The sequence below is a fragment of the Homo sapiens genome, chromosome 5 (genome assembly GCF_000001405.40).
Source record: "Homo sapiens chromosome 5, GRCh38.p14 Primary Assembly".
NCBI classification, from domain to species: Eukaryota; Metazoa; Chordata; class Mammalia; order Primates; family Hominidae; genus Homo; species Homo sapiens.
This window is the reverse complement of record NC_000005.10, coordinates 83,674,102-83,701,840: the sequence shown is the minus strand read 5'-3', so window position 1 is coordinate 83,701,840 and position 27,739 is coordinate 83,674,102. Positions and strand designations below refer to the sequence as shown.

At 34.8% G+C, this 27,739-nt stretch overlaps 1 protein-coding gene and 1 pseudogene across 6 annotated transcripts in view; one reads left to right on the top strand and one right to left on the bottom strand.

The window, feature by feature from the left end:
* The window catches only part of HAPLN1 (hyaluronan and proteoglycan link protein 1), an 83,051-nt gene that overhangs the window by 19,015 nt on the left and 36,297 nt on the right, over positions 1-27,739 (top strand). Inside the window, exon 2 of one of the 6 annotated variants that reach the window (XM_017009051.2) lies at positions 26,504-26,553. The exons of 2 other annotated variants lie outside the window; for them this stretch is intronic. The gene's annotated coding sequence lies outside the window, so the exon portion shown is untranslated. Of the gene's footprint in view, positions 1-8,584; positions 8,672-26,503; positions 26,554-27,486; positions 27,709-27,739 lie in introns of those variants that run through there. 3 more of the 6 variants (XM_017009052.2, XM_017009054.3, XM_011543168.3) reach the window with 3 other exon arrangements.
* Positions 15,823-15,975, bottom strand: RN7SKP295 (RN7SK pseudogene 295; annotated as a pseudogene).

The window sequence follows — 27,739 nt, the reverse complement described above, 5'->3', positions numbered from 1 at the left end:
AATTCTCCTGCCTCAGCCTCCCAAGCAGCTGGGACCACTGCATCTGGCTAATTTTTTGTACTTTTAGTAGAGACGGGGTTTCACCGTGTTGGCCAGGCTGGTCCTGATCTCCTGACCTCAGGTGATCCACCCGCCTCGGCCTCCCAAAGTGCTGGGATTACTGGCGTGAGTCACCGTGCCCCGCCTCATATACTTTTTCATGTGTTGAATATAATCAACTGTTAAAATGTCTTTTATTTATTTATAGTGTCTTTGTTAATGAGTTGTTTTATCCATCTTTACATCCTTCAAAATTCTGAGCTGAAAGGTCAGATTTGAAACTGTAGAGATCAAAGGACCAAATGTGTTCCAAACACCCACCTACTCTCAAATCCCCTGTGTAATACAATAGGCAGATGTTTGTTGATCTGCCTAAACACCTGCGGTAGCAGAAAGCACTGTGTACTTCACAGGGCAATTCATTTCACTTTTAGATGACTTATTAGGAAATTCTTCCTGACAGTGTGCAAAATTTGATTTCTTGACTTCCACCCACTTGGTCCAGTTTTGCCTTGTGAAGCTACACGAAATAAGTTTAATAGCTTTTCCATATTTGGGACGTCTATTTCTAAATGCAAAGCATTATGTTTTTCCTGCAAAATTTTGTTATTTTTGTCACATCGTTCCAAATTTTGCAGATGGTTCTATTCTAGCTCTCAAGTCACATTGCAATTAGTCTAGTATTAGCTTTACAATCCATATACAGGCTTTGAGCCTTGGAACTATAAGACTAAAAGGAAAACTCTCATTTATATTAACATCACTTGAAAGTAAACCTCTTGACTGATAGTGTAACAGAATTACAGAAATTAATAAGATAATGTCCTTGTCACTGGGAAGGTCTCCTTTTATTAAACTAATAGCTAGTGCACCAGAGATAAGGAAAATAAATGTTAATGCAGAGTTGAAAAACTTTATTTTGAAAATAGAAGGCATTAATCATCTGCACTCTTTTACTGTGTCCTTATTTCATTACATATGGTTACTCTTTCAAATTAATTTTCAGAGAGCAGAATGAGAGGAGCCTTGTGCCATCGTTGACTATCTGCACCCTTAAACTGATAGATCATAGCAAAAATTGAAACCTAGCTTAGTCTAATAGTCATTATGAATGGTAGTGCATTAGCTGCCTAAAAGTAAAAAAAAAAAAAAAAAGTTTGAAAGGAGAGTTTGAGACATAAACATTTAAAGGAAAATACCAATTTACTGTAATTGGTATAAAACAAAATGTGACCTTAATTTATATTACTATGTATTCTTGGCAATTTTTTCTCCTCATTTGCAAAATTTTCTCCTTTCTCTATTCCTCCTTGCCTGCACCAGATGACAGTGTCCATGGTGAGGATGAGAGGTGAACAGTATGTGACTTCTGCATAATAATATTCTAAATTTTGAATCATGATGGATATTGCTATAAGCCAGTAACTGTCACCTCAAACTGATGGGTGGGAAAAGGGTCCTTCAGGCATGACACATTGGCAATAATTGGAAATCCATTCTTTTCTCTTTTAAAAAGAAAAGTCTTTATTTGTATGCAGTATCAGAGTAGATACATGTAATTTTTGTTGTGGTGGTGGTGGTGGTTGTCTTTTTTTTTTTTTTTTTTTTGAGATGGAGTCTCACTCTGTCACCCAGGCTACAGTGCAGTGGCGCAATCTCAGCTCACTGTAACCTCCGCCTCCTGGGTTAAAGTGATTCTCCTGCCTCAGCCTCCCAAGTAACTGGGACTACAGGCATGAGCCACCATGCCCAGCTAATTTTTGTATTTTTAGTAGAGACGGGTTTTCACCATGTTGGCCAGGATGGTCTCCATCTCTTGACCTCATGATCCAACCACCTTGGCCTCCCACAGTGCTGAGATTACAGGTGTGAAGGTGTAGTTTTTAAATAAAACAATTGTTTCAGTTTACCAGCAGGAAGCATTTTGGTACTCTGCTTTTAATGTTAAAATAGAAGTGTTGTTTGCTTCATGCTCCTATTGTTATCAATAGTATAATTGGTTGTTAAGCTTATTATCAGAAACTATGGAACATGATTGATTTAATATTCAGTATATCAGAAATCAGGTATTTATTTGTTTACACATTTCATTTATGTAGCAGAATGTTCCCGTGAATCACAAATCTGAATTTTTGGCATATTGGTGAGCAGGACAGGAAAATTAGATCTGAATGGGTGGTAAAACCTTTTTTATCATCTGGGCTCTGATACACAATTGGAAAAACATGTAAGCATACATAAAATGCCTTATAGTATATTGACTGTGGAGTTTAGATCTTAACATAATTATATTCATGCTCTGGGGAACATTTATACCTTTTGATTAAAGATCTCTCAGTAGCAGAGCAGCTTTCTAACTAGCCCGCAAGATTTCTGCTAGAAGTAAAACAGTAGCATCCTAGGCCGTGGTGATTTACAATCTGAACTGTACATTTCCTTCTTAAGGACACCTTTGCTGGAAGGCGTCATTCAGGGTGAGCAGCCACTATGTACATTGCCCTAACAAAGTGGAGTCACTATATAGTTTTAACAAACATTCTGGACACATTTGAGAAAAATAATCTCCTTCAATAGTTGTTTGATGGTAAAGTACACTGCATTTAATATTTTATGTTTGTCTATTTACATTTTCAAAGCCTCTTCCTTTTATGTACTCTTTGAATGACAAAGCTCACTTTTTACTGCCTTAGCACCTTTTTTTCACCAGTGGTTAATAATTTATACACAACAGTGAATTTGATGTTAAATATCTTATATACTAAATGGGAATTAAAAACATATTTAACAAGTTTTTTAAAAATTTAAAATAGCATATTCTCTGCTAAAAATATTATACTTCTACTTAATCAAGAGATGCTGCTCTTTAAATAGAATTGAGTATCATGTATACGATACCGTATTCGAAAAATTTTGGAGAAACCTTCTATATCCATGCTGATGAAGTTCAAATTCATTTCACTTATTTTAGAGATTATACTATGGGGTCAAGTAGGCCTGAATTTAAATTCCAATTAAGATTTTTACTGTGTATCAGTTCTGCACCTTGTGCAAATTACTTAAGCCCTGAGTTTCATTATCCATTATAAAATAGAATTTTTGACAATATTTGCCTCATAGTGTTTGTAGCCAAGATACTGCCAAGATAATATATGTAAAGCACCATAGAAAGTAATGAACAATTGGCAGCTATTTATATTATTTTCATGAACTACTACTAGGGGAACTATAGGTGGATTTCTTATAATAATAATGGCAGAAGAATTCATTAAAGAAAACACTGATAGATTTAGTTTCATAAATTCTCATTAATTCTAGACATAAAAACCAAAAATCAAAATACAGGGAAATTTTTTAACATATGTCACAGAAAAAGAAGCAGTATCTTTAATATGCAAAGAGTTTTTAAAAATCGATAGCAGATTTTTGACAAGAGTACCAAGAAAATTCAGTGAGGAAAGTATACTCCTTACAAAGCAGGAAAAGAAAAAGAAAAAAATAACATACAATGGAGCTCCAGTATGTCTGGCAGCAGACTTCTCAGTGGAAAACTGAGATGCTGGGAGAAGTAGACAGACACAGACATAGAATGAAGTTGGACTCTACCTCACATCATAAACAAAAATTCTTTCAAAATAGATTGAAGACTAAATATAAGAACTAAAACTATAAAACTTTTGAAGACAACATAGGTGTAAATATTAATGACCTTTGATTAAGCAGTGGTTTCCTAGATGTGATACCAAAAGCCACGCAACCAAAGTGATATTAATAAATGAGGCCTCATTAGTACTTCAAAGGACAATATCAAGAAAATAAAAAGACATCCCAAAAGATTGGGAGAAAAATATTTGCAAATCTTATGCTAGTATATATCCAGAATATATAAAAAATTCTAATTCAACAATTAAAAAATAAACAGCCCAATTAAAAAATGGACAAAAGATCGGAATAGACATTTCTCCCAAAGAGATGTACAAATGGCCAATTAGCACATCAAGAGACAGTCAACATCATTAGTCATTAGGAAAATACGAGTTATACCCCTAATGAGATATCACTTCATACCCACTAGGATGGCTATAATGAAAAAGGCATACAATAATAAGTGTCAGTGAGGATGTGGAGAGTGGAGAAATTGGAACCCTCATGCATGGTTGCATGAACATAAAACAGTGCCGTGCTTTGGAATACAGTTTGGCAGTTTCTCAAAGAGCTCAACATATAGTTACCATATTCCATCGCTTGGTAGATAAGGCCCAGAATTCAAAAAATATGTTCATACAAAAACTTGTGCATGGGTGTTAATAGCAGCATTATTCATTAAAGCCCAAAAGTGGAAATAACTCAATTGTCCATCAACTGATGAACAGATAAATAAAATGTGGTATCTATATAGGTGGAATGGAATAGTATTCACACATAAAAAGAATGAAGTACTGATACTTGCTACAGAATGAACATTGAAAACATTACGCTAAGTGAAAGAAGCCAGGCATAAAAGGACCACAAATTATATGATTCAATTTACATCAGTCAATACATCTGTCTCTATGAATTTGCCTATTCTAGATGATTTGTTGAATCATCTAGAATAGACTCATTGAATCATCTAGAATATTCATTGAATATTCATTGAATCATTAAATTCATTGAAGTCATTGAATTCATTGAATCATTTAGAATCATTTAGAATGGCATCCATAGAGACAGAAAGTAGATTAGTGTTTGCCAGGAATCCTGGTGGGGGAGGGAATAGGGAATAACAGCTCATAGGTACACAGTTTCTTTTACGGGTGATGGAAATGTTCTGGAAACAGGTAGTGGTAATGGTTGCACAACTTGAGGAATGTACTAAAAACCACTGCACTGTATGCTTAAAGAGTGCATTTTATGATATACAAATTACATTAGTTTTTTAATGTTTCAAAACTCAGTAACAACTAATAGGCAACAGTTAAAATATGGCAATTCACAAAAGGAGAAATGTAAGTGACTGATGAGCATGGACAAAATTTTTTTATGTCATTTGTAATTAGAGCAAAGAAAATTAATACAAACATAAGCCTACCAAATTTTTGTCTATCAAATGTATATATTTAAAATTATACACAGGCAAGAGTATTTTCTTTATTCAATCTATTGGTAGAAATAAAACTTGAGAACTTTTCTGAAGAGCAGTTTGGCCATATGAATGAAATTCTTTTTAAAATTTTGTATCTGATCTTTTTGTATACCACATTGCAAATACCATACTCTCTTAATTACTATAACTTTATTATAAATCTTAAAGTCAGGTAGCACAACTCTTTGTGCTTTCAACTTTGTTCTTTCTTTTGTAAATTCCTTTTCTAAAACATTTTGGCTATTCCAGGGAATTTACATTTACATATGAATGTTAAAATTACCTTGTACCTTTCTACCAAATGTGGGCTAAAATTTTGATTTGAATGCATTGAATTTATGGGTCAGCTTGGGAAGACTGAATCTCTTAATAATATTGAGCCTGTTTTATGAAAATACCATATCTTGCCATTTATTTATGTCTCATTTAATTTATCTGAACATGTTTTTTAACTTTCAGAGTACAATTTGCATATTTGTTGGCTATTTTTCCCTAAATATTTTTATGCTTTGGTATATGGTATTCTTTAAATTTCAATTTTTGATTATTCATTGCCAGTGTATAAAAATATAATGATGTTTGCACATGGATCATATATCCAGCAACTTTTAAACTTAGTTTATATGTTACAGTAGCTTTTTTGTAGACTTTTTATGATTTTTCTGTGTAGACTGTCATGTTATCTGTAAATAAAAAGTTTTAATTCTTCCTTTCCAATCTGTTTGACTTCTATTTCTTTTTCTTGCCTTAATTCCACTCTCTGGGAACCTCCACTAGGATGTTTAAAGTAAATGGTAAAAACGTAAATGCTTGCCTTTTTTCTGGTTTTAGGAATAAATAATTTAGTCTTTTACCATTAAGTATGATGTTAGCTGTGGGTTGAACATAGATGCCCTTTATCAGATTGAGGAAGTTCCTTTTTATTCCTTTATTAAGAGTTTTTAGTTGGAGTGGATGTTGGATTATGTGAAATACTTTTCCTGTATCTATTGAGATGTTTATATAAATACATATAGATATATATTTATCTATATATAAATATATTTATCTATATAGATATATATCTATAGATATCTATATAGATATATATTTATCTCTATATATATTTATATAAACATCTCAATAGATACAGGAAAATAGATACACTAAATATGTATATATATATAAATCTATTTAGTGATCTATCTGTTTTATCTGTTGAGCAATCGATTGATTGTTGTGTCTGTCTTTCTATCTCTTAATGTAATGAATTATGGCTGGGTGTGGTGGCTCACACCTGTAATCCCAGCACTTTGGGAGGCCGAGGCAGGTAGATCTCCTGAGGTCAGGAGTTCGAGACCAGCCTGGCCAACATGGCGAAACCCCATCTCTACTAAAAATACAAAAATTAGCTGGGCGTGGTGGCATGTGCCTGTAATCCCAGCTACTCGGGAGGCTGAGGCAGGAGAATTGTTTGAACCCAGGAGGCAGAAGTTGCAGTGAGCCGAGATTGCGCCACTGCACCCCAGCCTGGGTGACAAGAGTGAGACTCCATTTCAAAAATATATGTATAATGAATTACATTGATTTTCTAATATAAAGAAAACCTTAAATTTCTGGGATAAACCCCATTTTGTATTAATCCATTTTATATCTTTTTGGATTAGATTTGCTAAAATTTTGTTAAAATTTTTACGTTTATGTTTGTGAAGGGTAATTGATTTGTAATCTACTTTTCTTGAAATGTTTTTGTCTGATTTTGGTATTGAAATAATGCTAGCCTCATAGAATAAATTGGGAAATATTCTCTCCTCTTCAATTTAATCTAAGAGTTTGTGTAAAGTTGATATTATTTCTTCTTTAAATGTTTGGTGAAATTCCGTGAAGTCACCCAGGCCTGGAATTGGTTTTGTTTATTTTTTTGTTCATTTTTGTTGTTATTCATGGGAATTTTTAAACTAAAAATTTGATTTTTAAAAAATAGATATAGGGCATTCAGGCTATTTGTTTCTTGTGTGAGTGGTGGCAATTTTTATCTTTCAAAGAATTTCACCATTTCATTTAACTCACTGAATTTATTAAAACAAAGTTTCATAATATTTTCTTATTGTTTATTTCTATAGAATTGATAGATATTATCTACTTCATTCATTATATTGATAATTCATATCTTTTATATTTTATCAGATTAGCTTGTATAGAGATTTATGAATTATATTGATCTTTTCAAAGAACCATCTTTTGTTTTTACTTATTTTACTCTGATATTATTATTTTTTTGTTCTGCTTACATTGGGTTTCATATTCTCTTCTTTTTCTAGTTTCTTAATGTGGAATCTGAAGTCATTGATTTGAAACTTTTCTTCTCTAATACGTGTTTAGGGGAATACTTTCTAAACTAAGTATTGCTTCACTGCATCCCAGAGATTTTGATATGCTATGTTTTAATTTTTATTCAGTTTAAAATAATTTTAATAGCCCTTTTGATTTTTTCACTGACCCTTGGGTTATTTAAAATTTTGTGCTTTAGTTTCCAAATAGATAGAAGTATTCCACATATCTTTTTGTTTTTGATTTCTACCTTAATTCTATACTTAGGGAATATATTTTGCCTCACGTAAATCCTTTTACATTTCTTGAGAATTGTCTTATGACCCAGAATATAGTTTATCTTGGTAAGTGGTTGGTATGCATTTGAAAAGAATGTGTACTTGCTCTTGTTGAGTAGAACATTTTATAAATATTAATTAGGTGAGGTTGGTTTACAGTATTCAAGTCTTCTATATATTTTCTGATTTTTCTGCTTACTTGTTCCATCAATTGTTGATAAAGGGATGCTCTAATATTTTACAATTCTATATCATTTTGCTTCAGGTATTTTTGAACCTCTGTTATTAGAAGCATACATTTTTAATGTTGTAATGTTCTCCTGATAATTGGACACTTTATCATTATGAAATTGCTCTCTTTTCCCCTGCTGATATTTTTTATCCTGAAATCTATTTTGTCTGATTTTAATATAGTGTCTCTATCTCCCTTTTGGTTAGTGTTAGCATATTATGTATTTTCCCATCCTTTTACTTGTCATATATTCTTGTCTTTCTTATTTAGATTATCTTAAAAAACATATAGTGGTTCTTTTAAATCCAACCTGACAATCTCTGCCTTTCAATGGAGGTTTATAGATGATTTACCCTTAATTAAAATATTGATATGCTTGGCTCTGAATCCACTATCTTGCTAATTTTTCTATTTGCCTCTTCTGTTCTTCATTCTCTTCCCTCTTCTTTTTCTATCTTCTTTTGAAATAATTTGAATATTTTCCAAAAATTCCATTCTGTCTCCTTTGTCGGTTTATTAGTTATGAGTCTTTGTTTACATTTCTACTGGCTGCTTTAGGTTTTATAGTATATACCTTAACTTTTCACAGTCTATTTTCAGGTGATATTTTACTACAGTAGTCCTGCTCATATCTGCAATTTTATTTTCTTTGGCTTCAGTTACCAGCAGTCAATGACAGTCAGAAAAGAGGTGAGTATAGTAAAACAAAATATTTTGAGAGAGAGAGGCCATACTCATATAACTTTTATGACAGTATATTGTTATAATTGCTCCATTTTATTATTGTTAATTTCTTACTGTGCCTAATTTATAAATTAAATTTTATCATAGGTATGTGTGCAGAGGAAAAAACACAACATATGTAAGATTTGGTACTATCCACAGTTTCAAACATCCACTGGGTGTCTTAGAATGTATCCCTTGAAGATAAGGGGGACTACTATACTTCATGTAAAGTATTAATATAAGAACCTTCCAATGACATATTTCTATTACCCTTAGACATGGTCTTTGTACAAATGTTGTTATGCAGTTGTCATGCATTTTGCTTCTAAATATAAAACCCCACCGTACATTCATATCATTTTTACCTTAAGGTTTCAATTATCTTTGAAAAACATTTACATAATGAGAAAAATGTGCTTACTTATAGTTAGTATAGTCAGTGCTCTTCATTCTTTGCATAAATCCAGTTTACCAACTGTTATCATTTTTCTTCTGCATGAAGAAGTTTCTTAAATATTTATTTCTGTGTAGGCTATTGATGAATTATTTTAGCTTTGTATGTCTAACAAAGTCTTTATTTGCCTTTGTCTATGAGACATATTTTTGCAGAGTAAAGAATTCTAGGTGGACAGTTTTCTTTCAGTACTTTAAAGATCTCATTCCACAGTCTTCTTGCTTGCTTTGTCTCAGACAAGAAATCAGCCTTCATCTTTACCTTTATTCCTCTGTGAATAATGGGTCTTTTTCTTCCTTTCTTTCAGATTTTCTCTTTACCACTGGTTTTAAGCAGTTTCATTATTGAGGGTTTTGGTTTAATTTTCTGCATGTTTCTTGTGCTAGAATATTTGCTGAAATTCTTGGGTCTGTAAGTTTGTAATTTTTATCAAATTTGAAAGTTTTCAGTCATTACTTCTTCAAATTTTTTTCTGCCCCTTCTCTCTTTTGGAGACTCCAATTACGTATGTTTTGGCCACTTAAGTTGTCCCACAGTTTAGTGATGCTCTTTTCCTTTTTAGTTTTCAGTCATTTTTCTTCTCCCTGCTTCATTTTGGACAGTTTTGATTATTGCAACATCTTCAACTTCACTCATCTTTTATCCTGAATTGTTTAACCTGCCATTAATCCCATTCAATTTTTTTTTATCTTAGACAATGTCATTTTCATCTCTAAATGTTTTATATAGGCTGGTTGTAAATGTCTTTTTCATGCCTCTATATGTAACATATTCAATAATTCTTCTAGCTTCTTGAACATTTGAAATATAGATATAATAGCATTTTAATGTTCTTATCTACTGTTTCTATCATCCGTATCTACTATCATTTTTATAATTTCTGGGTCTGCCCATTGACTAAGTTTTCTCTTTATTATTATTATTACTATTATTATTGGTATGCCCTGCTTCTTTGTAAGCCCAGTAGCTTTCTGTTGGATTCCGTATGTTTTAAATTTTACCTTGTTTAATTAAGGCTGGATACTACTTATTCCTACAAATATTACTATACGTTGTTCAGAGATATGGTTAAGGTACTTAGAAACAGTTTGATTCTTTCAGGTCACTCTTTTAAATTTTGTTAGGTGGTCCTAGAGCTGTCTTAAGTTTAGTATTACTTTTCCCTCCACTAGCGAGTAAAGATTCATCTTAAGATTTTAAACCTTCTCCAAGAATTATGAGGCTTTTTAGACTGCCTGTTGGAAACAGGTGCTATTCCAGTGCTGGGTGAAGACTAATCCTTTAGGATCATTTTTTCCTTAGACTTGGATAGATTTCTCACACATATGCACTGGTCAGTCCTTAACTGAATATTCTAGGAGAAAACTCTAAACATCCTAAGTTAACTCTGTGTCACTCTCTCCTTTCCTCTCATTTCTATTATTCTGCCTTGCAACCTCTAGGAACCGTCAATTTTCAGAACTCTTGGCTCTCAACGCCTCAGCTCAAGTTTTTGAACAGGCTCTAGGTAGGTTCCTTCTTCCTGTACTGTATGAAAACTTTCTTTCGGCAATAAATTATATGACTCACCTCATTTGTTTTCTAATAATCAGAAGTTACTGTTCTTTGCCTGATGTCCAATATCTTGAGTGTCTGGTTTTTTCTGTATTTTGTCCATTATCTTTTTAGTTGTTTGAGACAGAAGAGTAAATACTGCTCATCTTACTTCATCTTGATCAGAAACAGAAGTCCTAGGTGGTTTTATTTTCATAGTTTTGCTTTTCTTCATTTTTCTAGTTTCTCTAAAATAACACATGCATTCATATAAAACTAATAAAAATATGCGACTTATTTTAATAAAATACTCAGGATAGTATTAAAGGACTAGATTTGGTAATTGATCATAATAATATGCCTGAATATATAATCACCATATAAATAGTTTTCAATGTCTTTAACAATATTGAAATTATGTCAGATATTTTTTTCCCTAAGGAAGAGAAAATCAGGGGTGCGCAAATTCATAAATTAGCAGATAAAAATGGAAAGGCCTTATCTGAAAAGAAAAATATGTGACTCTTTAAATATATAAAACCCATTTAATAAACCATAGCATGTTACAATGAAATCTGTGAAAATAGAATTAACATATCTCCACATATAAATTACCCCAATCTTACTTATTCTAGATTCCAACATATTTCTCAAAGAATTGTTCATAAAACCTTTTAGTTCCCATTTACAGATGTTTCTCCCGTGACCAAACAGCTAATTCTGTGCCACTTCAAATAACATCTTACACTTTCAACAATCTCAGAAATACATCACACTACTAAAAAACCTGTTTCTACATCTGTAACTTTGGCTTTTATGATCGCCTTGGGTGGCTCATTTTTCCTGGAATTTTCAAAGCCCAGATTATAAAACAATCTTTCTGAAAAAGGTATCAGAAATTAACTATTTTTTGCTTTGGTTGTTTGATGGGGGGAAACAGTCTAGGGTATTTTCAGAATTTAACATTGTCCTTTGCATTATATCCAGCACAAACAGATATGACAGAGGAGTACTGATGCCAGGAATGTGTCCCACGTAGCCTTCCTATTTAAGTAAACTGAAGATTGCCTCCTCAATTAGTTGAAACTTCTGGGTGGTCTTCCAGAAAATAGCTCTTTGAAGAAAGCAGTGCACTAATAATACTGTAAATGTAAAATAACATTAGCTCTTTAGCTTTGAAGCTAAGAAAGAATGAATAGCAATGAGATATTTTGTTTGTTCATATAAAATTTCCTATCTCTGACCCTTCAGAAGGAAAAATTCTATATAAATCCAATGAAAAAATTTTAAGTTTATATATTTGGGTTTAGAATTAGCCATTAATTTGGGGCATGTGTGTGTAAACTATCTGATTTGTTTACTTTTATAGGTGCATGCACACACACACAAACTTCTATAGTAAAATCACTGTATAATAAATTTTAAATAACTGGGGGTATGTAGTAAATAAAAAAATCTCTCCCTTTCTGAGAAAATTGGCCATTATTTAGCCTATTCTGCACATTTGATTTCACTGTCAAGTCTAAAATCACCCCATATGTGCCCTTGATATTATCATTCCACTGCAGCCTGCCCCAGGCAAAATAGTGAAGTTATTGAAGTTGGTTTTGTGGGCACTCTAATTCCCTTCCAGAGACTCCTTTTTCCCTTGTATTCTTCTTGTCTGGGGAGTGAAAAAAAAGTTGTAGTTCAGTTATAAGGCCTTTTATTAATGAAAATGTTCATTTATGTAGCTGCCTATATTTCCAGGGAAACATAGGACAAGCCAGTAATATTAGTAATCTTCATTATGCAAATGTTCATAACTCTGATTTTCATTAATACACGAGCTATGTGTATGTAGCAGTTTGGCAAGGAGAACAGTCATTATTTAGGTGCTCAGCATATTCAACTTTGGTCTTAGCTAAATCCACCGATCCCTAACGCTCCTCACCCTACCCTTCCAAATAGGAAGAATAGCCAAAATAATTTTATCATGAAAAATGGAAATTTCCTACAAACAGGAGCCTAATACTTGGGATTGATTGGTCAATGGACTGAGTAAATTTAAATAAGGTAGACTATGCACCTATTGTAGGCTTTGCAAATCCTCCAGGCAAGTTCATTCTAAATGGAATTTTGCCTGTGCAAATACAATGCATGTACTAAGAATTGTACTTAAGCCTCAATACGGAGCATTGAATTTAAGTTCCCAAGGTTCTGCTCAGCCTCATCAAATATGGACCAAATGGGCATTGTTGACAAATGCATATTGACATGGTCTTCAGTTTAGTTTTCTTTGTTTATGGCTTTATTAGAGGAATTTTTAGTAGCTCTTTCTCACTGTACATAGCAGAGGGTGATAGAAGAGTTCGTTTTCTGTCCACCGTTTCCCTGAATGCATCATTTTCTAGAGTTATTGTCTCTTCTCTCTTCAGTCTGTATTAATGTCTTCCATTTAAATAAGCTTTCCTCAAATACTCATTCTCCAAAGTGAAAAAAAAAAAAAAAAAAAAAAAAAAAAAGAATCAAAAGCTGCATTTGGCAAATACTAGCACAGGAAATTTTCCAAAATCGTGAATGCCCACAAAAGAGGTCAACATCCATTTGCTTTTCATGTGCATTTAATTATTGGAAAGAATTTGATTTGGCAATTACGCTAGTGTTTTGAAGCAACTTCATTTTACGACTGAGAATGAGGACTTCTTAAAGTGGGGACTGTGCCAGTCAGCTCATGCCAGATCTATTGTGGGTATTGAAAAGTTTAACATGTGAAGAGAACTAAATAGAGAATGGCAGGAGCTCTGCTGCTACATCGGGATATGTGGAGCCTGGTGCCTCATGAGAGGCAGCCAAAGTGGATGGTGTGTCAGTGATCACTGGGATGACTCCTTGGACAAAATAGTTCTCCCATGCCTAAAATGTACACTATAGAAAATAAACCTTTAAGTCAAAGGCATTAGTGGAGAAGCAAGAGAGTATCAGAAGACTAAAGGCAAAGAAAATGATGGTTTCAATGGGAGAGGATCAGGAAGGAGCTAACACTTGGGTCTGACCAGAAATCCTGAAAGTGTAGATGCATGCATAGCTAGAATGTCCTGGATACCAGAGTGTTCTAAAAAGAGAAAAGACAAAAAGGTTGAGACAAAGGAAGGAATGGGCAGATATGAAAGCAAATTTACCTCATCCCACATGGCCTATTTTGTGTCATAGAAATTCTTGTCTATCCAATGCTTATATCTTAAGAAAACCAAGAGAGTCAAAACAGCCTTTTGATGTTTCAGTACAAGAACAATAACTCAGAATGTTCTATATAAATGCATTTCCAGAATTTAAATATGCTAACACCAAAGAGCAAAAACAATGGGATATTCCATCCTTCTGATACTCTCATTTTCCCCCCAATATGTAAATGAAGGAATAGGATATGTTAAAATGTTACAATTAACAGATATAACTTGCAAAACAGTTATGAAGAAATTTTTTCAGCATATGTGCTGGAGATACAAGGATTAATAATACAATGTGGACATTACTCTCGTCAAGTCAGTTGCATTTTAATTAGCAAAGTTGAGTATCTCATCACATTAGTGTGACACCAAATGCTGAGATTCAGATTTAAAGAGGTCATTCCTTGTTTAGATGCTATAATGGTGAGAGATATTCAGGGACACAGATTCCATTTTATGTACTTGCTCCTAAAACATTGTTGAATGAATGTTTTGAACATGATGCCAGCAAGTAGCTATTTATATTGTTTATGCATATGCCTGAACAGAAATTTATGCTCTTGCTGAGAGGCTTATTTTGAAAAGACCTTCCTAAACTATCACTAGAAAATGCAAATTGTGGTCAAGAGGTTCGTAACTGAAGACTACTGTATTCTCCTCCATGAGAGGAACGGCAGATGTTTCCTTAGGCCATTCACTATATACTGAGAGAAAATTTGCCATTTTTTGCAGTTTTTAAAAATTGATTTTGACTACACCAGCACTGAAATTAAATGAATCATTTTCTTTTCCTGATTTCCTGTGGATTTTGAGGAGAGGTTTGCTTTATAAATACCACTTGCTCTTCCTTATATCAGTTTTGTTTTACATATTTCGTAATTTTTGAGTGCATTTCCTTTTGTTTTATATTCCAAAATACCTGTCACCTTCACTTCCAAACAGCCAGTTCCACCTATTAACTTCTGTTATTGTTGTTTATTTTTAGCAATGGCATTTTTACAGAATAAAAATTCTTTCCTTGAAATTCAGGAATGGAGAAACAACACACCCTTCCAGATGTAGAGGAAATAAACCTTATCCTGCTCTTGAACTCCCTGAAATTTAAGTGACCTTCTTTTGTTTTCTGTCACTTTGCACCCCACCTGCTGTACTGTCTACTCCCACCCATTGGCCCAGCAGTGCAGATTTAGAGAACTTTTCTAAATTCACTTGCTGCCTCCAAAACGGCAGGTGGGCGGCAGGTGCTGGGGGCTATACAGTGAAGGGGATGAGATATGTGTGTGTGTTTGTGTTGAATTTGATGTATTACAATTTTAGTCAGCATTAGCAGAATGAAAAGGTGGCATGGCTGTCTCTGAATTAATTCATCACTAAAACATACTATCTGAAGTTTAGCGACATTGATCCTTCTTACTTTATTGTTGCTATCACTATTGCCAACTAAGATAAGAATGAACATATGTGGATTTCACTAACTTTGTCTCTCAGCCAAACCAAAGGAAGTTTCCATAAGCCTGGCAAGAAAGGACAAGCAGAATTCAGAAAGCCTCACTAGAACTGATTCTATTTGACAGGCTGGTCTTGTTCCCTCTTCTACCTTTTCACCTCTAGCAACAGCTGTTTCGTTGTTTTACCTGTCATAATTTTCTCCTTTTAAGACAGGTAGGTTAATTATGCCAGGAGTGGATCAACGGGCACAATTCTTAGGCAAATTTTAAATTAGCAAGTAGGAAGAAATGAGATCGGTAATTTGACCTCAAGTCTTGACATTTCTTTTTTTTTTTTTTTTTTTTTTGGCTACATTTTATATCTCTAATTGTTGTTTTGGCTCCGTCATTGGTGATAGTACAATTTCAAATAATCTCCAGTGTGCCAGGGTAGAGAAATTTAGCAGGAAATGACGGTGAAAATCAAAAGCACATATGCTTTATGTTCTCCTACAAATGGACTTCGAGAACTTGTGTGGAAATACTTGCAAGAAAGTATAGATAGTCATATGCTCTTGGCCAAAAATGGTCCTTTTCTATCAGAGTACGTTATTCTCTTCAAATAAGCAGCACATATTTGGAAGATTTGCCCTTGACAAGTTCAGATTGAGGCACCGACAAGAGAGAAAAGGTCACACCAATCAACTCCAATAATGGAGTAACTGAGTTCCCTTAGTAACTACTTCAGACAACTCCAGTTACCTCTAGTTCACTCTCATATACAGCTATGTTTAGAACTACAGAAACGCCAATCTCCTTATTCATTCATTGAACACTCACGAAAACTCAAGATTAGAAGGACCAATAAATCCAGGAGTATAAAGACTAATAAAATATGGTCCTTGTCCTCAGGAAGTTTACACTTTTGTAACATTAGCACGGGGTCAAAATGTTTTAGATGCTTCATTAATAGTTTGAGAATCAAATGATTTTTTTACAGTTGTATGAAATGTGATGATTTATTCAATGAGTTGTGTGTGTGTGTGTGATGTCTAATATCTAGAAGTTTGCAGCATATAGTTTTACAGGTTGTGTACTGAACAATATCTAGAAGTCTGCAGCATACGGTTGTGCAGGTTGTATACTGTGCAATTCTGGAGGCTTCCATTTATCCTGCAGTGTGCAGTGCAAAGCCACAGAGGCATACATAGCATCCCTGAGCTTCTACAGTGTGTCAGAGGACATAGTAGTAAACATAGTTTCTACCCTCCTGGAGCTTGCATTCTAGTAGTTACACATGCAGACAATGAGCTGGATTCTGCTATCAAATCCCATGCCATTTTTCCAGTACCATTTTAAAGTATGTGGCTTGACAATCTTTTGATATAACCAATTATGAAAATGTATTAATATTAAATGTAGAAATGATTACACTGATCACTGAATTTATAACAATAGCTATGTTAATCTGCCCTTACTAAAGAATGAGTGAGAATCCAATAGCTAAAGGCTAACCCATTGTATTTTGAAATCTTTATATTTTATCTCTATAAAAAATTGGAAGTCTTTAAAAGTGTGTTCTACATGCATCTTCCCTAGTAAACAGAGTATGCATGTCAGATTGAGAAGATCCCTCTTTGTACTGTGTACTTTGTACACAGTTATATCTTCTTATGAGGTATGTAAAGATAAAGTAAGTAACCTGCAGTGATGTGGCACTGGTTGGAATGCCTGATTGCACTAGGAAAAGTTCTCATTAATTTTATGTTCAAGGCCTTTTTGTCTTGCCCCTGACTCCCTGTCCAATCTCACCTCCAGCCACTCTACTATGATCACCCCACTCTCCAACTACACGAGCTCCATGTAGTCACACAAGCAGGCCAAGCTCCCTCACAGTTCATATGATTAAGCAGCAATATCCTTTCCCCTCTTCTCTATCTCCTGTTTGTCTTTCAGCCCAGCTGAACGATCACCTTTCTGAAACCGTTTCTATATCCTGCCAGCCAGGCTGGGTTAGGTGCCTGCCAAGCCTGCCACTCTGCACAGTTTTAGTGGGCACCATTCCGACTGCATGCTGGAGTGCCCCTCTTCTTTTTCCAATAGTATCCTGAGTATGCCTATATGCACTTGCCACCCTGTTCTTTTATATTGCTTCCCAGCCTATCTTGAGGGTACCTGCTTTGGGATCTGAAGCTGAGCCTTATTTCTACTTGCCTGGTGTAAGGTGGATTCTCAATGGATAATTGTTTGAATGACAGCTTCATTTGGCACAGTACATAATTTAGGTGCCCCTGAGATATGTAAGGCTGGAATTTCTCTCTTTGGATATGCTCAGATTGTTCACTTAGCCTATCTGGTGTTGTTTTTCCCTATTGTAATGCTTATCCTTCAAGTCATTGCTCCCATTCTCAGGGGCCATGCTGCTGGTCTCTTCGCAGATGTTCATTACCACTAAAGAACACTACTCCTTGGCCTCTTTTCAGTTGCTATCTTCCTCCTCCTTCTGCCCCCTCCTCCTCCCCGCAGTCTGCTTCTCCCTCTTTGTTTTGCTCTTGTTCTTTTCTGTTTGCTTCTCAGCAGTAGGGGCCCTGTTTTTTAAACAATTGCCTACTGAGAATGTACACTGTTAGAAGTCCATCTCAGATCTACATTCTATTTCCCATGACATTTATATGGTCAGTATTCTCTCAGTATTTGCAGTACTGTGCTCACTAAGACTTACTTTGAGGTGTGCAGTTATTACTAACCTCTGAGAGTGATGACTGGCAGCTGTGTATGTGAGGTTTTTCTACAATTTTTAGATAGCAGTTCCTTTTTGAAGAAGTGCACAATGTCACCACTTCCCTTGCTTTCCAGGTTCTGTATTTTTAGGATTACACTTCATCATCCAGATCTAAATGTATCTGTGTACCTGCTAAAGTTAACGAGGTATAAGAGATTATTCAAAGGTCACATTATCCTCAGCTGTAGGCACATTATCCTCAACTGTCATTTGCCCAACACTGATGAGAATTCCAGTCTTTTATGTAATTGCTCATGGCACTACCATTGCTTTCTGTGAAAATTATGGAAGAGAGAAGCTTAGTTTTTCGTAGCTGCTCGTTTCCTCTTAACTTTGTTAGTACTCACCCAGGAACTCTGCCACCTCTACACTGCCCTCACTACCATAATACTTCACAAAAACATGATCACATTTGAAATGGAAACAACCTTGGGGAACTTTATACTGGTAACTGTAATGATGGGAATTTGGAGACCAGGTTGAAAGGGAGGATCTGTGAGAGAGACGTGGAGCTGGTAATTTTGTAGTATTTAGAACAATGTAAAACCTGAGACTTTTTATACCCAGCTTCCCTCATTCTTAGGACAATAGTGCCCATATTGTTATGTATTTTACTCATGTATATTTATTTCATTCTGAGTCAATGGAAAGCTTTGATACTTATATAAAAGTTTTAAAATCTTTTGTTCTTCATAAAAGAAAGCTACAAATTATGTAGATATTTTTGAAGTCTACAGCAGTAGTTTCTAGCTAAGATTCCATGCCTATAAAGAAAGTTGATTAAATGATTTTATGTGTTTTCAGGATGAACAAATTCCTGAGCCAAAGAAGTTGTAAATGAGAATTATTTAGTTTTAAAAGCTTAAAAAACACCTTCAAAGATCATTATAATTTAAAAACCTATTAGGATGAATTATTGGGCTATATCCTGCATCACAAAACCAATTTGGAAACTCAATTTAATGAGCTTAGAGGTCAATATTTGCTAAATTAATTGGAAGATATTGTATTTTCCCTTTTTTGAGCTGTGTAGACACAGCCCTTTTGGCTGGAACACACTTTGTTACTTATATACCAATGAACTGAATTCTGATGAGGTCATGTTTTGACGTAGGATGGGGACAAATAGTAAACTTTCGTAAGGATCTTGGAAGATACCTGAAAAGACTCAGCCAACGGAGATGAGGATTGACTGCATGAAGTGCATTGGAGAGAACAGAAGTTTCTGCTGCTAAAAACCATTAATATATTATTTTTATTTTTATTATGACTTAGTATAACTAGGTACCACAGTAAATCGATGATCATAAAACTTTTCATTGTATGTAGTACAAAATCAGAATTGACACATATTTAAAAATCTTCCTATGCCTTCTCAGAGTCTGGTGACTTTTTAAAATATGTGTGAGTTGCCTGATTCTTGTTGTTCATTAACTACTTTAGAATGACACATGGGATGCAGTGGTGAGCTTAGTGTTTTTGCAATATGTAGAAAACTTTTTACATATTTGTGATGGCACCAAAGCTGTCATGTAGATGTTTTGCGGTTGTATTTTTAGATCCAACGTTAATGAAATGTTTAACTGACAGCTGTTGAAATTTTGAACTTTTAAAGAGATTTAAAATTTTAATGAAATGGAATCTTAAAATATTGTTTTGCTGGCTCAATTAAAAACAATTTCAAATGCATTTAGTTGAAACTGACGTAATGATCGATTTCCTACCCATATAAACCCTAGTGCTAGAAATCTTATTTTAAAAACTCTTGTTTCAAATTATAAAACCTGTAACTAGGAGGTTTGTATTCATTTAGTTGTGTGCATATGAGCACAAGAGTCTAAACTCATTTTTATATAACCTACATTTAAAAGCAGTCCTAAAAATTCTAAATTCTAAATTTCCTCCACCACGCCTGACCAATTCTGAATTTCCTAAAAATTCTTAATTTTGTTTGTACATTATAATATGAAGAGGAGAGTTATTCTATATATTTCAAATGATGTATAGCGTGGGCAAATAGGGAGACCTCCTCTCTACAAAAAGTCAAAAAATTATCCTGGTTTGGTGGCAGGTGGCTGTGGTCCCAGCTACTTGGCGAGCCGAGGTGGAAGAATCACTTGAGCCCAGGAGGTTGAGGGTGCAGTGAGACGTGATCTCACCACTGCACTCCAGCCTTTGTGACAGACAGACCTTGTCTCAAAAAAAAAATTCATTAATTAATTAATTAAAATAAAATGATGTAAAAAAGTAATTTTAAATGAGAGTTGTTTTATTTGTTTGTGTCCATTTTTTATTTGTGCTTGATAAGAAACAATGAGATAGCAATCTAAGCTGTTGATAATTCCCAGAACATTCCTTTAGAATGTTTCAGACAAAATTATACATAATTGGTTACAAGGGGCCTTCTGATGGCTTTAAAATGCCTCCGTTTAGGTTCCTTCTATTTAAATTCCAATTCACTAGGGAATAAGTCATGTATACATTTGTAGAGTTCTTAATTTAGTGCCAAATTCCTTGTCAAGATTCAAAATTCATTTACTATTACTGATCATAATAATGAGTCATTCGATTTTATACATTAAGAAAATATTTTAAAGGTCTAATTTTATATTATTTAATACAATGCTTTGTTATTGATGTTACTCAGATTTTTGATCACAGAATCAAGAATGAGTGAATTTATAAAATGTCTTTCCTATATGAGTATGTCTAACAAGCATACCCATTAAAGAGTATTTCTTATAAAGCCAATATATCATGGCAGCATTTAGCATATTAAACCACAAAGAAATTATGAGTTAGCCTGAGAAGTGGCAGTACTGCTTATTTATATTCTGACAGATTTAATTATCTTTTAATAATTGTTCATGAGGTGATTTTATTTTTGATGATCTTTGTGTATAATGATAGAATATAGATGTTTTCTTCTTCAGCCTATGAAGGCTGCATTTTTAATAGCATCACAACATAATATTCATATTGGTTGTCTAGTTTTTAGTGTTCTAGGGTAAAATTATGATTTTAGGGCATAAAAAATAGGATCAGTTTTCCAAAGATAAACACAGGGGAAGATAAGACGTTTATTTCCTTTTAATGTCACCATCATCATCAAAATTTATTGCTTAATATTTATTTATTGACTTCCTCAACTATCTGGTCCGGAAACAGACTATTAATTATGGAACACATGCCCATAAAAACCTATATGAAATCTCATGTAACTGAAAAATTTTTTAGTAGATAGTGAGAATACCTACAGAAACATGCTAAATACTATCTATAGGTATTCCAGACTTTTAGTTACTCAGAGGCAAGAAATATGTGGTCCCTGCATTTATTAGTATATATATGTACTGCTTTCCCCATATACCCTAAATATTTGATTAAAGGCTGTGGACATGAACATTATAAACACAAAATATGACATGTGCTTTTGCTCAGATAGGCCTTTTATATGTGTTTTAGAAAATCAACAAATAAACAAAACTATTGCAGAATCCACTTAAAAAGCTGGTTTTGGAGAAGTCTAACCCCCATCTCAAGCATTACCTAAAGCAGGTTCTAAGGGGCCAGTGAGCAGCCTGAGCAAATGCACTTCGATTAGGTGAAAGGTTGCTGAGTTTGTCTCAAACCCTGTCAATATTGTCTGAGAGAGAGAGCTAGCAAAGAGCAACAGCCAAAAACAGTAAGTAAATTGAATTGCTACTTAAACAAGCATTATTGATATTATCCCTTTAAAAATCCATGAATTTATCTGCTGATGAGGACAGTCCTAAAATGCAACATAAGTAGAAGAGACGATCTGATATCTCCAGTAAGAAAACATTAAATCATAATAATAACAACTAACATGGAGCTTGGACATTTGACGTCAACTCTTTTAATTGACAGATAAAAAATACTTGACCCTAAAGCAGTTGAATCACTTCTTCATGGGTCACACAGCTAAAAAGTGGTAGATAAAGAAATGAAACTAAATTCTACCTTTCCTCCATTGTACCCATTGCCATATTTCCCCATCTATCCAGGATAGCTCCAATTTACATGTTACTGTTTTCCTAGTATAGTTGTAAGTAGTTATCCTGCTTACTCTGTGCCTGGTTCGATGATAAGTAATCCTATGACCACGTCAAATATCATATAATGTAATAAATATGAAATATAGGGAAAAGAGAAAAGAATAAATTATGTAAGAGCGGGTCAGAAAGATTTGGAGGTGATGAATGGATAAACAAAAGCAAGAAAGTAAAACAGAGAAAGGTTAGAAAGAGAATAGAAAAGTTAGGGGAAAAACAGGATAGAAATAGACTGATTTCAAAACATCGAGGAGAAAAAGGAATATAAATTTTTCGTAAATTTAAGAATGCAGGTTCTGAGACATGAGGATCCTAAGTTCAGCCTCCCATGTTTTATACGCATGGTACAAATTCATGATTGAGATTTCTGAGATCTTTAATTAGAAAAGAAGCCACAAGTAAATTGTAGAAACATCTACAGCTAAGTGATACTCCAAAAAGCAGTCATTTTAAATGATTTGCTCTAAATCTAAGCAGTTTGTATGTAAGTGGCTAAGGTATTCTTAGAGATTCCTTTAGCAGTAACTGCAGGCATTGGCAAGCCTAATAAATATTAAACTGAAATATATGTCCTTATATCACTCAAATATGTTGGTATATATTGCTCCCATAAAAAACTGGGAAGTCTATGGCTGACTTGCTCATTTCTGTTTCTGCCACTGGATCTTTTTCTCCACACCCTGCCAAATCTTTGCAAGAAAAACTTGATATTAAACTCCATAACAAATATTGTTCTTAGAGAAGCCATGTTAAGAAATTCTTGGATCTGAGAACTATAGTTCAGTATCCATTTTGTGGTGACATTTTATTTCTTTAAACTTAGAAGCAGTATGCCAAATATTCACCATTTATTATTCATTTGCTACTTTTTTACTGCCCTTCCTCTTATTTTTGAGTGGCCTTTTCTTCCTCTTTATTTCACCTCTCTTACAATCCCCTCATATCTTCTTCCTGTTTTCTAATGCATTTCTACCCACTTTCCACCCATCGATAATTGAGCCCATAAGGGCAGTCGTATTGGCTTCAGAGAAGAGCAGTGGACCCAGAGTGATGCTTTGAGGGACCTGCACTGCCAGTCCTGCTGAAATCATCCAAAGTCCACAGCCAGTGTTAGATATTTCCTAGACCGTCAGTAAAATGACAACTATCGTAACCTTACAGAAAATAAACCACGGCAAATCATCTTTTATAATGACAAAATATATTGTTTAAATTGTTAACCATTTGTGGATGAGAATCTTTCTGATTATATATTTTTCGCCTTAATTCTTATAAATGTAGCAACAATATAAAGAGTTTGTAAAATAAAAGGAAAATACCCATCTGCCTATTATTTTTAGAAAATAACTAATATGTTATATGCATTCATTTCCAGTGTTTTAAAGTAACATTTTTAATTAAAACACACACACACACACACACACACACACACCCAAACTATAGATAAAAAGGAAAATGAGGAAAAGTAGAGAGGAAAAATGAACATAAGCATGGTGTTATTTCCAAGAATTGGGAAGTCTCAGAAGCTCAAACCCACACCCAGAAGAAGAACGCCCAGTAATCTTAAAAACTTAGCCCAGTGGGTCTCAAATTTGAGCATGCATCAGGATCACTGAGGGGGAAGGAGACTGCTAAATACTGATGGCTGGGCCCCATCCCCCAGAGTTTCTGATTCAGTGTATCAGGGGCCCAAGAATTTCCATTCTCTAACAGTTTCCAAGTGCTGCTGCTGCTGGGAAGTGACTCCTGAACTCATTCCAAATAGCAGTTTTATGGGAGGATTTATCTGTCTCTGAGATGGAGATGTCCTTGATTCACTATTTTTCTTACATTTATCCATAACGATCAATCAAGTTTGAGGCAGTCCTTCCCAATTTAATAACAATACCTTAGTGTTTGTGATTTGTATACTTGTTCAAGAATACTTTCAAACCAGGGAGACATTGTCATTATTTCTATTTTGTAGGTGAAGAAATTGAGACCTGTTGTACTGGTTGTGAGACCTGGAATAGAGCTCACTTTTCTTCCTTCTGGTCTATGATTTTTCTCAGTTTGTCAGGTTGCCAAAGGATCAGACCCAGGCTAAGGGAACAATAGGCTGCCCATGTCCAGACTGAAAGCTCACCACAATGAAAAGGTCTTGGCTGGACATCCAGTCCATGGCATCAGAAAAGCTTTTTAGCTGACTTGGTAGCTTGAACTTTCACAGAACTATGCAATATGACAAGGAAAATTCCAGCTTGCATGAAGCATTAAAGGAGGTGCAAGACTGGCTAAGAGAGAGCCGACAGCACTCGTCAGGGGACCCACGACAATGGTAATGGTAGTTGGGAATGCGTCTCTGGGGTAACACTGCCCAGACTACCAGCTCCTTGTTGTACATGCTGGGTACCTCACCACCCTAAGACTCCACTTCTAGAGCTGTAAAATGTGTCTAACAACATACTTACCTCAATTGAGTTGTTCTGAGAAATGGCAGTTCAGGAAATATGTAGTGTTAGCTCTCAAGGCACATGAAGTAGCACACATGCCTTTCACTTGGTTTGATCTCCCCATTACCTAATATGATAATGATAATGTAGTAGACACTTAAGAAATAGCAGTTGACCATCTTGGTATTAGACTGTTGATATTAGTATATCTGCATTTCTATCAAACTATTACTCTTTCACATTGGATAAGGTATATTGCTTCCAAATCATGCTTCAATTATCAACAAAGCAGGACTGTAAAATTACATTCCTATTATCTGTCTTTGACTATGAACATAGACATTTCAGTTTGGATTCATCTTGAAGCTGGCTGATCGAGCATTAAGATTTGTAAGGCTGTGAAAAGAGACCTTCAATGTGTGAATTGCAGGTGAACTGAGAGCACTAATTCAGGAGTTGATAATAGCTGGTTGTGGAAAAGTCTCCCCGATTGTCTAAATTTTAGCTCATATCAAAAACTGCAAATTTTTACCTAACATACCTAGACATTAAGAGGAGGCATGATTACAAAATGCAAACAAGCAGGACTCAGATTTATTTACTCACATGACCACCTACTATGTCTGAGGTGTCCTTTTCTACTGGGACCAGCACTTAGACCCGTGGCACAGCCCTTGACCTCAATGACCTCAGTCTGGTGTGCAGCACCTTGTTTTATATAGCTTATTGCTCAGACACCTGAAGACTGTGACCCTAAAGTATACTTTTCTAGTTTCATGTCTACTGGTGAGATGGTTGTTGTGCTTACCAGAGTAACAAAGATAATTTCCATTCTCACCTCCCTGGATTGTATTGAATCCAGCACAGGGTACTCTAAAGTATTCACTGATAGAGGCCTCTAATCACAAGTTACTGCAGATGTCCAATATACTTGAATTTTTCAAAGATGGTATGTATCTATCTTTCTGTGTGTGCGTATCTCTGTGTATGTGTGCGTATCTCTGTGTATGTGTGCGTATCTCTGTATATGTGTGCGTATCTCTGTGTATGTGTGCATATCTCTGTGTATGTGTGCACACATGTGAACCACCAAGACTTTGTTCATGGTACCAGAGTGATATAATTAATGAGGCAGGGCAAATCATGTTAAGAAAAATACCACCTGACTGCCTTCTCAATATGTAAGTCTTGGGAAAAATGTTTATATTCATATATAACACAAGTCAAAGTCTTAAGATCATAGTTGTAAGTTAAAGAGCTTGAATTTAAAAAGGCAACAAAAGACATAACAAATTAAATTTGCTTGAAGGCAAATACAGACTTTGCCACTTACTAGATGTGTACCTTCCAGCAAGATTACTGTCTGTATCCCAAGAAATGGAAATATTTGTCTCACATTATTGTTCTAAGGAATCCATGAGCCATTGCAGACAAAATGCTGCTTATAGTGCTGGCGAACAGTAGACATTCCATGAAAGGTGTTTTTATCATTGTTTATTCCCCATACTCCCTCACAAGCACTCAAGACGTTTACAATTTTAAATTAGGTTGTTGGATAGTCAGTACTTTAACACATTGGAATGAACCCTTAGTAGTATAATTTTAAATACTATGGTATGGAACTAAAGGAGATACATAGATAGATGTGTCATATATTTTTAAGACGAATGAAATTCAAGATGGTTGCAGTGGTAGGATAAACAACTCTAACCTAGTGTGTGTATCATATACAGCTCCCTATAAATTACACTATACATGACCACACTAACGTGAACATTAATTTAGCAAACTCTCCACCTTTGCTCATCTTGACTCCTCATCTAGAATGTCTCCTGTGTTTGATTGTTAAATTATACACCTTCTTTATACTCTCTCCTCCACAGCGCCCCTTCTCTGATTCCTGTAAACAAGCAGAGAGCACATCACAACTCTGGTACTGTTTGTCTGTTGTTTCATATTTGTGTTTACAGTTATCTCAATTATATTCCAAATTCCAAAAGGCCACCTTTATATTTGTTCACCCAAAGCACAATCCTGGGCTGAAAATAGGTAATATTTTAAACTGTAATTTTGTGGACAAAAGTTAGTGACTACAAACAACCAACAACAACAACAAAAATAAGCATTTCAAAAAAGTTCTTAGAGGAACAAGGAAGTGAACTTCTGAAAATAAGACTAGTAAATCAGGTAGAATTTTGAAGCTAACATTCTTGGTTTCCTTGACAAATAAATTTCACAATTTGTTTGCTTATCTACCATCTTCTTTATGTGATATAATGAAGAAAAAGAAAAGATTTAAAGCAAACGTGAAAGACTAAAGCCATCAGCATCACAGTAGTGCAAATCTTCACAGGGGAAAATACAGAGACATGTTTCAGTCTCAGAAGAGACTTGGGGACCTTCTGTGAATAAGTGAATTAGGTTCTGGAGTAGAGGCTCTCCTACAAGGACCTCCAGGAACAGACTCAGAGCTCTTTAATAAGTATCCCAGGGAGTCAGGCTTTCTTGGAAAAAACAAATTAGTGTGAGAAGCCAGTACTGTGCAATTTCAGTTTTAAAAATAGCCGGTATTGTCAAGGCTGCTGTGTGCATGAGAGAAATAGAAGGTCCTTGTTAATTTTCGTGTCAGCTTCCACATTAAAACCAAGAAGCTCCACTGAAATCCTTGCCTGGCAAATACTGCAAAGGTTATAAGGTTCGTATCACTTAGAATCACTTTTGGTTCTTCCAATGACAAACTTTTGGGAGGGAAGAGGTTATGTCCCCTTTTATCACATTGGTCTTTCAATAAAGGACAGGCAAGTGATGGCTCTGCCTTTTTCACTTAGGACCAGATCTGTGCCTCCCTGTCTGTTTCAGCTTTTCATTTGCCTAATTGCCCTGGGAGGCTGGCAGGGACGTTCCCTGCAGCCGTGGATCCGCTGACTGCAGAGACCCTACCTGGCACTCTAAGTTGGTGCGTCAGCATTTTAGGTTGAAATGAATGAAAAATCAATCAGGATGACTGCAGTGGTAGCGTGCACAACTCTAACCTAGTTTGTTCATAATTTTCAACTATTCACCGTAGACCCAAGCAGTATGTAAGATGGTAAGTGAATCTGTAACAAATGTGCTGCTTC